General features: G+C 37.2%; 1 long non-coding RNA gene across 1 annotated transcript; it reads right to left on the reverse strand.

Annotated features, from left to right (window-relative positions):
* Positions 1-4335: 4335 nt before the first annotated feature.
* Positions 4336-10654, reverse strand: LOC105377501 (uncharacterized). Its single transcript, XR_939372.2, has 3 exons — positions 10467-10654; positions 7922-8063; positions 4336-4628 (listed from the first exon to the last, which is right to left on the reverse strand). It is a non-coding gene; the product is annotated as an uncharacterized LOC105377501 (long non-coding RNA).
* Positions 10655-12135: the final 1481 nt, after the last annotated feature.

The raw sequence follows: 12135 nt of genomic DNA on the forward strand, positions 1-12135 counted from the left end.
TCAATAGGAAGGAAAGAAAGTAGAGAAAGAGGAAGGCAGATAAAGGAAGAAAAGAGTCAGGGAAAATATTTAGAATCTGCAATGAGTCTCACAAAGGCAGCAAGCTGATAATGAGAAATCATCAAAGCAGAGGTGACTTGAAGTAATAGATGATTCAAGCAGGCTGGTTTCAGCTGAACATTGATATAATCAAAATAAGGGCGATATCGTGAACATCAGTAAGAGAAAAGCAATTGTGCTTTTTATCTAAAAAGTTGTCTGTGCATATAGGGCCTAAAATGCTGAGGGCAGAGCCATGTGTTTTAGGCAGTGTTTTCCAGAGAGGCAGAACTGACAGGAGATACAGAAAGATATATGAGAGGGGATTTATTAGGAGAATTGGCTTACTCAATTATGGAGGCTGAGGATCCCACATGATAGGTCATCTGCAATCTGGAGAACTATGGAAGCCAGTAGTGTGGTTCAGTCCAAGTCCAGAAGCCTCAGAGCTAAGGAAGCCAATGATGTAACTCCCGGTTTAAGGTCAAAAGCCCAAGAGCCAGGTGGACCACTGGAGTCCAAAGGCCAGAGAACCTGGAGTTCTGACATCCAAAGGCAGGAGAAGGGCATCCTGGCTCTGGAAGAGAGGGCAAGAATTCACCATTTCTCTACCTTTTTGTTTTATCTGGGCTCCCAGTTGATTGCATGATGCCTGTCCCCACTTAGGGCAGATCTCCAGTCATTTCACAACTTACAAGCCAATCTCTGGAAACATCTGCACAGACACACCTGGGGCAGCCTAATCGTTCAAATCAAAAGCAAAAGCGACTGGGCTTTTCTTTTAGCAGACGAGTAACAGGCTCAGCGCCTACTGAAATGTTAAGAATAAATAATGCTTTGACCAACTATCTGGGTATCCTTTAATCCAGTCAAGTTGACACCCCAAATCAACTATCATACTGTGGAACATTGAACGTATATCAAATATGATTGTGTCAGTTAGCCAATTACATTTTTATGAGGCAGTTTGTTGGTGATGAACATGGATTTGGAGCTAGAGAGACCTGGATATAAGACCCAGATTCCTGCATATGTCTTCTCATCTCTAAAATGGAAATAATATAAAGTTCATCTTATGGCTTTTTATTTATTTTTTAAGTATTGTAATTACAAACCAGAGTAACCAAAGCCACAAGCTTGTTTTTGAAAACAACATCCTGGGAAGCAAAGGCTGGATCTTTAACACCATATAGAGTGGGGTCCCTTTCTTTCTGCTGGTAATGGGGATATCAAAGTCAATATACCATCGTCCTTAAAAGACTTCTAGCAATAATGCAAGAGGTTATGACTGTACAAAACTTTTCATATTTAAAGTACACATGTTCTGAGGCATGCAAAAGCTAGATACAAATAAAAATGACAGATGTGTCAAAATAAAACAGTGGAGTCAAATCTGTGCTGAATTCTCCTTGTTTTTTTTTCATACTTTTCGATTTCTTACTCAACAGAGCATTTTAAAGTGAACTGCATCCAAACAGTACAATTTCAGTTCATAGAAGCCAAGAAAAATAACTCTAAAGAGCAAAGAGTTCCACCTCAAAAAGTAAAAAGCCACTTAGGGGAAAGAATAATTCTACTTGAAAAGCAGATTAAAATAAAAAATCAGAAACAAGGCCAAAACGTAAATTTATTTCCTCAGGCAAACTCTGTGGATACGTTTCATTTAACTTTCTCTTTCAGTAAAAAATGAAATTGGCCAAAGAGATTTGCTCTTACTCTTAACTGTAAGGACTATGATTTTAAATGGACATTTGCTATCATCTTTGAGGAATTCTGGCATGACTATTATTTATAAATGTTTCATTTAACAAATAAGGCATAGACAATTTCTTTTGTCTGCAATTGCTCCCTTTGCACCTACCTATAAGTTATAAGGGAAATGTTGATATTGTGTTTGCATCATTGGAGTCCTCCTCTCACTAAATAAGAGCATGGAAAGTCAAGAGTATTATTTTAAAAGGTTACAGTTCAAGAGCCCCTTCATTTCTCAGATTTGTTATTGGCATGAGCCAAGAACAATTCCTCCAGTTTCTCAGTATGAGACGGAAGAAATTGCTATTTAGCTTGTCTCTGTAGCCCAAGGTCATTTCCCAGACTGTGGTATCCAATTTGGATTGTTCTGTAAACAGCACAAATGTTAACCAAATAATAATTTATACAATGGCATGCATTAGGACAGATAAAAGAGAGAAAGCTGATGCCAAAGAAATAGCTACATAGCTGGTCATTGTATTTTCTTCTCTAACTCATTCTGGGAATATTAAAAAGTGGTTGGGAGTAATGTCCCAATGAAAAAATAAGTCTTTTGAGCAACGTGATTAGCTATCTTGTAATACAATATTCGAGTACACAAGGATAAACGTAGTTGGGTAAAATACATCTCACTGTCTTTTCCAAATGTTTTTTTCCCTAAGTGTGCTTTATCTTTGATATATTTCTACTACCTCCTGTTGCTTTCAAGTCACGATTTTTAAAGATTTCTGTTTACAAGCATCTGTTAGTTAAAGTAATGCTAACTGTAGTAACATGCGAACCCTCAAATTTTATCCTTAATACAAATTGATTGCTCCTTACATTCAGTTTAAAGTAGCTGTTCCTGATCTAGGCACCTTCCGTTTTGTGGCTCTCTGATCTTTATGTGGCTTCCAAAGTCCCTACAGAGGGGAAAGACCATGGAGAATCACATTTGGAAAGTTTCATTGGCCAGGCCTGAAAGAGGCACATATCATTTCAGCGCACATTCCATGGCTACAATTCAGTGGCACAGCACACACCGCTGTAAGGGAGATCAGGAAATATAGCCAAACTATTTGCCTAGGAGTTTAGGGGAAATGGACTGGTTTAACAGATATGTCAACACTGCCACCAAGCATTTCTAACTTGAGATGAGCTAGGAAAACTACATTTTAATTATTTGGGGAGGGTTTAAAAATTCCTGGCTGAATTAAAATGACAGATGAATTATTGTATTTTACCAATGCTCTCATAGGTTTCTAAGAACACATGTATTCCTAATCAAAGGAATTTACCAACAAGTAATGTCATGATTATTATGAGAGCTTAAGCTCACTTAGATAGGAAGCTGAATAATGTAGAAAAGTCAAATATTCTGAAACATACACAATTTCTTGAAAAACTCTTCTTGAATCAAAACCCAATGCACAGATGTTTCAGTAAAATATTAATAGATAGTTATGACTTTTAAAACCTTATAATTTTTATTACAAAACCTGTGTATCTAACTTCTAAGCCAGGCCCCTGACAGAAACAAATTTCATAACTTTCTCAAATTTCATAGCTTTCTCAAAGCAAAGATTCCATTTGCTTTGCAAACCATATTGCATTCTTAGGAGATAGTGTTGTAATGAACCACATTTAATAGTCTTATTCAGTGGAAAACATTTTCAAAATCATCACCTTTTTGAGTATCCAAAATGTTCTCTAGATTCAGAGAAATAAAAGAAAAAACATGCTATAAATATCTTCATTAAGCAAACACTATGCAGAATAAATGTGCTCTTTTCTTACCTCAGTGTAATTTTCAGTATTAAGAACAGTGATTATGTGGGAAAATTAAGGTTTTAGTTTCAAAGAAAATACATTTTCTTAACTCAAGGATGAGATTGATTTTTTCATATAGTAAGAATGTATTAGAAATAGATATTCATGCTAGTAAATATTAATGGCTATGATCACAGTTAATTGTTGTATGGTGTTTTATGTTATGGGACTGAATTATATTTTACTTAATTATTCCTCTTGTTAGGCATTTATTTTATTTTACTTTATTTAATTTTATTTTTCAAATAAGGACATTTAAAAAAATCCAATAGTTTTTGGTAACAGGTGGTTTTTTGGTTACACAGTTAAGTTCTTTAGTGGTGATTTCTGAGATTTTGGTGCACCTGTCACCTGAGCAGTGTACACTGTACCCAATATGTAATCTTTTATTTCTCACCCCCCACCCACCCTTCCCCCTAAGTCCTCAAAGTCCGTTATATCATTCTTATGCCTTTGCATCCTCATAGCTTAGCTCCCACTTATGAGTGAGAGCATACAATATTTAGTTTTCCATTCCTGAGTTACTTCACTTAGAATAATGGCCTCCAACTCCATCCAAGTTGGTGTGAAGTCTATTATTTCATTCAGTTTTATGGCTGAGTAGTATGTCATGGTATTTATACACCACATTTTCTTTATCCACTTGTTGGTTGGTGGACATTTAGGTTGGTTCCATATTTTTGCAATTGCAAATTGTGCTGCTATAAACATGTGTATGCCTGTGTTTTTTTCATGTAATGACTTATTTTCCTCTGGGTAGATATTGAGTACTAGAATTTCTGGATCAAATGGTAGTTTTTAGTTCTGTAATTTTTATAACTGCTTATGGAGTTGCCTTTAGCACAAGTTTACGGTTCAAGTATGCAAATTGCTTTTAAAAAAACTAATGGTGCTTACAAAATTTTCATTTGACATTTTTTTGGCTAGTTCTTCTTGTCTCTTCTCTTCATTCCAAATTTCTACTTCTTCTGTTTCCAGATCTCTTGGCTAAAAGACAGTGCATTTTCCTTCAGCAAATATACTGTAATCTAAAACATAGAAGTTAAAAAAAAAAGATTAGAAGAAAGGCAGAGCATATGTGATTCCTTTAGTTTCCCGCTTGGACGTGTATGTACTCCCAAAATTCATATGTTGAAATCCTCACTCCTAAAGTGATGGTGTTAGGAGAGGGGCCTTTGGGAGATGATGAGGTCATGCATGGGATTGGTGCCCTTTTAAAAGAGGCCTGAGAGAAACACCTCAATGCTTCCTCCATGTGAGGTTAAAATGAGAAGAAGGCTGTCTATAAGGAAGTAGGCCCTCACCAGACAAGAAATCTGCTGGCATCTTGATCTTGGACTTTCCAGCCTCCAGAACTGTGAACAACAAATCTCTGTTGTTTATAAGCCACATAGTCTATGGTCACGAGGCCTGCTTGTGGTTTCAATCGCTCCCAAATTACTGCTATTGAGCTTACCAGAATCTATTTCACATTTTGTTTTCCTTTAAAATAACAGTAATAAATCTCTCCTTGTAATTATTGCAATCCCATCTTTTTTGTCTATATGTGACATAGACCTGCAAATCTGCATTATGGTGGGAAGATCCATTGGAAAGTCACAGGAAGCATTTCTGGCTAGATTTTGGTTCTCAGGGTTTGTTTGAAAGCTGCTGGCTGCCTGAGAGAGAAGAAGGGGAAAGGAGGGTCGTGAAGGTCATGGCATGAAGAAAGCAGCAGTAGCAGTAATGAAGAAAGGACAGGGGGCACTTCTCCTAGGACCCCCGGTATTTTAGGGGTAAGTGGTGAAATCCTACCCACAAGCAGAAAATTTTCAGAGAGCAGCTCTGCAGAGGGTGTAATCACATGTCTGAAAAAAGAGGCCAACCTGCCCTTGTCCACTTCTGGCTATGAGTTGATAAAATGGATTGCCAATACTTTGAATGATAACTGGGATTCTGCAGAATCTATAGCTTGTCATATCTGCAGATTAAATACATGCATTTTTTTCTGTTGAGTAAACCTCAGTCTGTATCAATATCTTGAGCATGCGTTTAATTGAGGAACATTAGTCTTCCCATGGTAGTATGTTTTGTCCTAATTGAGATGAGATATACTCAAACTGTGACCATGTGTTAGAAGTGATCCATCGTGTTATACATATATCAAACAAAATCCCAATGACTGAGGTACCATTAGCATAAAATAAGCAGCCCATCTGTAGGTATTTTGGAATGCATACTTTTCACTCATTTGCTTATTCATTTATTCATTTAATTATTTTTTTCAGATTCTAGTCATGTGTCATTTTTTTTTTCTGTTGAGAACTTTGCCAGGTTAAAAAAAAAAAAGAAGAAGTGGCCCTTGAAGTAGGTTCAGTCTAATGGCTTTGAGACACTTATTGACCCTTAGAGTCAATCATTAAAAAGTATTGTAGCCAGAATATATTTGTGAGCATGTGAAGTACTAGTGCAGAAGGAATTTCAGTGTCTCTCTTACAGCAAATAGTGTGCTGTGCTCCTCTAGCACCAAAAACTTCCACAAGGGAGGGTATGTTAGCTTGGATATCTGACCTTCCAAACCTCAAGTTGAAATCTGATCCCCAGGTTTGGAGGTGGGGCCTAATGGGGGGTGTTGGGATCATAGGGGCAAATCCCTCATGAATGCCTTGGTAATGAGTTGAGCTCTTGTTCTGTTAGTTCCCATGAGGGATGATTGTTAAACAGAGCTTGGCACCTCCCTCCACACCCATCTTTCTATTCTCTTACTATGTGATCTCTGCCCACACTGACTTCCCTTTGCCTTCTGCTATAAGCGGAAGCAGCCTGAGGCCACCACTGGAAGCAGATGCCAGCACCCATGCTTCTTGTACAGCCTGCAGAGTCATGAGCTACATAAACCTCCTTTCCTTATAAATTGCCCAACCCCACGTATACCTTTATAGCAATGCAAAACAGAGGGTATACCATGAGTGTTGTCAGGTCTCAGTGACTCATGTGATCTAGTCAATTTTGGATTTCCAGAGAGAACTTTTATTTTAAAAAAAGAAAAGTACCATTGAAAATAGATGGTAATGCTATATATTACTGTAATGTAAAACTAAGCAAGTATTTTTACAATTGCAAAGTGTCCTTAAATTCAATAAATTTACAATTAATGTAGTGAGTGTGTTTATTGAGGCAAACACTCATAATGCTATTTTCAAAATAACATGAAAGGAGAGTCACAACTGATTCAGCAAAATATGCCAGTTACCAAAGGACTTGTTTCCCATTCTAAATAGGTTCATTAGAAAGTCCTGAATTTTAATGGGTTTTGGTATTTGATAGCCTTTGACCAAATAGAACCCCCTTGTACAGTGTATAGTGACATTTCTTTCATACAGAGAGATTTTTTAAAATAATAAGAAAATGGCTCTGTGACTTAAAGTAAATATTAGAGCAACTCACTTTTCATTCTTGTCTGATCATTGATAGTATTAGCAAGCCATCCCTCCTGCTCCATGTGATACATCCAACAACACAGGGAAGTGTTCTGCAACAGCCACTCAGTCCACACAATTTTAATTCAACATTGAGTGTCATAGACCTTGTTGCTCTCAATTAATGTCTCTCCTTTTAATTTTGCTTTCATGATTGGTCTGAAACTCAGTACTACTTAATTACCATGATCTTTGGTTTCCCTTCAAGATTTCAATTTTAGATTTCCCTGTGAATTTGCCTCCTTTGGCCACCTCAGGCTAAGTTCATTTCCATCTGAACTTCTCTACCTCAGAAAGAACCTCTCTTTACTACCTTCTCATATTTCTCATTCTGTCGGCAGATTCTGGGCAAAATTATTCCTTTTACAGCATAATTTCACATAGCTAGTGTGTGGAACATTACCTGTTTCATTTGCCTTAGGAATTTTAGGTTTTTCTAACTATGGAAATAAAAAAATGAGTTAATTAAGTGATATTTAAAATACAATTATTTTAAAAAAGGAGAAAACATTAGGACTTGTAACTTTAGGACAGAAGCTTGATGAACATGGAAGACCACCATGATTTTTCAGGATACAATGGCCCTGAAGTATATGTCTCTTGAAGTTCTTAGATAACTCCAATGTAAACCAACATACTGTGTCTGATTATTTCCCAGGTACATTAGGGCTCTGAGTAAATTACCTTCCACACAAGAAGTAAAATTATTGCAAAACTGTGACCTCTGGTTGCTCATGCTGGGCTATTTCTTGTTGCTATCAAGGAAGTTACATCAAATATATGTCAAAGTTACTGGATTGAGAGGAATTGGTATGAAATACGATCTGAAGACCATGAGGGATTTATCAATGTCTTCACATTACCTCAATCTTTTGTGAGCTCTTGCAGGTCAAGAGATGGAGGCAGGGGAAATTATAGCTGCATGGTCACAGGTATCATTACTCCTCCTTCCTCTGCACACAATGGGTCTCCTTGGCAACACATTTTCTCTCTTGCCTTTGAAAACTGTTATAAAGTAGAAACAATTTGGGTTGTTTTAGCAATGAAGCTGACTGAAACCAAGGCCAGGAAATAATTGTTTTTCTCCCCAGTAGAAAAAGAGCTCTTCCATGAATATAAGTTAGTCATGAGTTAGGCATTTTACTCATACTTGATGCATCCTGTGTTTTCACAGGACATTTATGCTGGCATCCCATAAACTGGGTTTGAATATACTTTGGAAACCCAAGTGACAGTTGCCAGGAAACCCAAGTGACTGCTGCCAGGAAAAGAACAATTCAAGATTCATTATAAGAACCAATTCTAGGGGAGAGAAAAATCAAAAATTGGGCATGGTCCATTTTCTGCCTTGTTTCCTGTTAAATGGAAGGGACCACAGTCTTGTTAATTACCGATCAGAAAATGGTACAGAGCAGAGATGCAATTATTTAACACAAATTTACTGAGACTATGTAAATATTAAACTTGAAATTACTGATAAAAAATGTAGTGTGTCAACTAAAGATTTTTTTTGCAATCTTGAAAGTAAAAAGAGGCAATGTATTTAAATAGATGAGGACCATGCACCTCATTCCTTCCAGCTCTGAGTACAAATGAGGTAACATTAGTATCTCCCTGGCCTCTGGATCCACCTAGTAATATCGTATCTTTCACATAATTTAAAATAACATAAAATTACCGCTGAGAGTCTCTGGGGATGTCACATATGAGAGCATGAAAGTGTTGTAATCCATGTTCTGCTTTAACCCTTTGGAGATGCCCATTTCTCTCCACAACCCATGAGGGCATCCCACAACTATTAATACTCTATCTGGCAGTTCTTGCCCTGAGAATGCTGATGTCTATAACAAGGATTTTATTTCTTGATGCTCCAAATAGCCCTGTATATATTGAGGTCCTCCATGCACTGAAAGATGAGAAGGCCCCCACATCTCACAGAATCCCTATGTGTACAGTTCCTTCAGATTCTGCCTATAGGCTTGCTTGCATAGACTCAGGCATAAATCCATAAGGCTTGGCAAGACTGGTAAAATTTTAAGCATGACATCATGCTTCAACTTCCTAATCTCTTCCCTCCAGTCACTTATATGCAACAGCTCATCCTTCATTTCCAGTTCTAGCCCTTTGACTCCATTAGAAATTCTTTTATTCTTAAAATAAACCCTTAGGAAAATTTGAATAATGCAAACCAGCAGTTCCAAAGGTGTAGTCCATGTACCTCTGTTGCGGGGTGGAGGGGGTCCCTGAAACCCTTTTAGGTGGTCCATGAAGCCAAAAATAATTTTATAGACAGAAGACCTTTCATTTACAGTGTTCCTAGATTGCCAGAAATCTAGGAATGTATTATCAACATGAAGTGAGCACTCTTGAGGTCTCCACCCATATTAATCCCTCTGAAAACTGAAAAACAGCAGGATTTGCCGGAGCTAAAAGAGCTCCATGACTCCATAAGAAGTCCGGTGCTGAAGCTTAAGAGACTTTGGTTTCATGCAGGGCAGGGTGACTACCCTGTATTGCAGGGCAGAAAAAAATCCTCTGTGATAAGAGATAGAGCCGGTACTCTGTGAGACATCTGCCTGTGCTGCCCATGAAGTGAGACCTCATGGTCCCTGCCAAGTGGGTCCTCACTACACTGCCCAGCCCTTTTAGCCAGAGCTGGCTGGCCCAAACTGAACCAGCTAGAAATTGTCCTTTAGTAACTTGGAAGGAGGACAAAGAGGATCTAGCAAGTGTGCACACATGACTACATTGACTATATTTGTCATGTATAACAGCAGTAAAGAATGTTGGTTTTTAGAAAGAGAGAGAAGCCTGAGACAGGCACAGAGTAAAGCAGAGACAAGTGACCATGCAGCCCCAGAAAGTGAGCAGCAAGAGAGTACCTGGGCACCTTCAGTGTGGGGTACTCTCCAGGTGCTTGTTTCAGGCTGTCATGAAGACAGTTTCATTCCCAGTTCTTTCATTCCATAAAGCTTCCCTTTCTACAAAAATAAATTTCCTGTTTTAATTTAAACCAACTTGAGTAAGTTATGTTCCTTAAAAAGCAAACAATTCCTGATGAAGTTAGAAATTGATCAGAAAGGGCTGCTACCAGCCCACATGACACCACTGAGTTTTTAAAAAGCATTTTTTTGTTCCTCAAATAAAATATATTTCAAGTCACTATATCATTTATATAACAATTGTATAAAGTATACATTATAACATACATAATTTACATAACTGTTCTATAAATTATATATAATAATTAACTATGTAATAATAATAAATAGTCATGTATCTGCATTAGTAGAAAGCACCTGTGTGTAACAGGTCATTTTTTTTCTTCCAGTTTTTCTTCAAATTCATGAGATGTGGTTGATATGGAGGTAGAGGATAAATTTATATCTTGCCCTGTTGGTGACATACCTGTACTTGTAGTTTGCTGAAAGTAATAGCTCTGATTACTCTTCTCTTTTTTTCTGGTATTCCATCAAAATTTTCAATATTCCATTTAATGATACAGAATAGTGTTATTATAGTTTCTCTACTAACAGCTCCGGTTTTCTTTAATCCTGACATCTGTGATGAAATAATACAGCGTGAAGCAGGTCACTGCGCACTGAATACCAACTTCTCTGAGTCTAGTGAGACAGAAGACCCACAAACACAAGTTACATGAAGCGAGTTTATCACTTGCAGATAGGCAGCAACGGACAAAAGAAGCCTTGGATTCATTTCAAAGAGGTTCCTCAAAGTTCAAGAAAGCTGCCTGGGGCAGATGGAATATCAACTCTGCATGCCTCTCTTGAACAGCAGCTGAGGGCCTGGAAAGCAGTCACCCTAGGTTTCACATCCTGGGGCCACTTGGTTCAATGCACTAAGACGTTAAAGCATAGTAAGGCAGGGCGGTGAGGACCCTCTGCTTCTGGGGCTGGGGACCTGCAACAGAGTCTGGGCTGTTCTAGCCAGTTCTCCACTTGTCTTGGCTATTACATTCCAAGCACATTCTACAATTATTCTTGAGAACGACACATGAGAACCTAGGGGGTGGGACGGTGGAGGACAGAACGTGAGTCCATCCAAGGCCACCAAGGGAACTGTCCTGCATATAGCAGTTAGTACGTTATCTTAAACTGTGTAACATTTCAATACAATATGCATCTAGAAGTTTTTTAAATCTGAATGAAGTTATATTTTAAACAATGAATCCTGGAAGCAAATAATGTTGCACTTTAGATGCCAAATCATTACAGAGTAATTCTTAATATGAATACATAGAACACTTTAATAATAATAATAAATTTTATTGCATACTGGCTTATGTCATAAAATTACTTATATATTTAATTTTAAAATTCAGCAATGTGATTATAGTACAATTAAATAAAGGAGTATATGAGCTACAATATGAAATATCAAACATAGCCACTGTGCTAAAAATAATAGGGGCTTAAAATTTTTTTAGAATATGGTGGTTAATGATAAGTACATTAATTTGAAATACGATCTCCTTGTTTAGAAGATTATTTTAGATGTTGTTAAATCAACAATGTCTTGATTATTAAACAGATATAGATGTGTATATATATCATGTTAGAACAATGCACTGTATTTCCATCTGCCTAAAACTTGGTATAACACACTGACTTCATTAGAAAGAAGCACTTTATTGGCATGATAATTTTTGAATTAAAAACATAATAAAATTTTTTATATAAAACCTGAAAATATTATCAATGTGTACTTTGTAAATTGCAATTCCCAACATAATTCTTTGACTTCATACTTAAATGGGTGATTTAAAAACCAAGGAAATAAACAGGCCAAAAAGTATCAGAAATGTTAGTAATTCACAAATACCATGAAAAAATATTGAGTGTATAATAGAGTTCTGGGAACAACTTTACATTCTCTATTCAAGGAAGAACTCTCCAAGGTGGTGATGATGTTTAAGCTGAGCTAATGCAGAAGTCCTTAGGTGAGAATTACTCGGAATGTTTCAGAAACAGAAATAAGGTCAATGAAGCAGGAACATAGTGAAAGAATGGGAGAAGGAAGAAACAGAGAAGAGGACAAGGTGATGTCCTTGGCCAGG

Source organism: Homo sapiens, chromosome 4 (assembly GCF_000001405.40).
Source record: "Homo sapiens chromosome 4, GRCh38.p14 Primary Assembly".
NCBI classification, from domain to species: domain Eukaryota; kingdom Metazoa; phylum Chordata; class Mammalia; order Primates; family Hominidae; genus Homo; species Homo sapiens.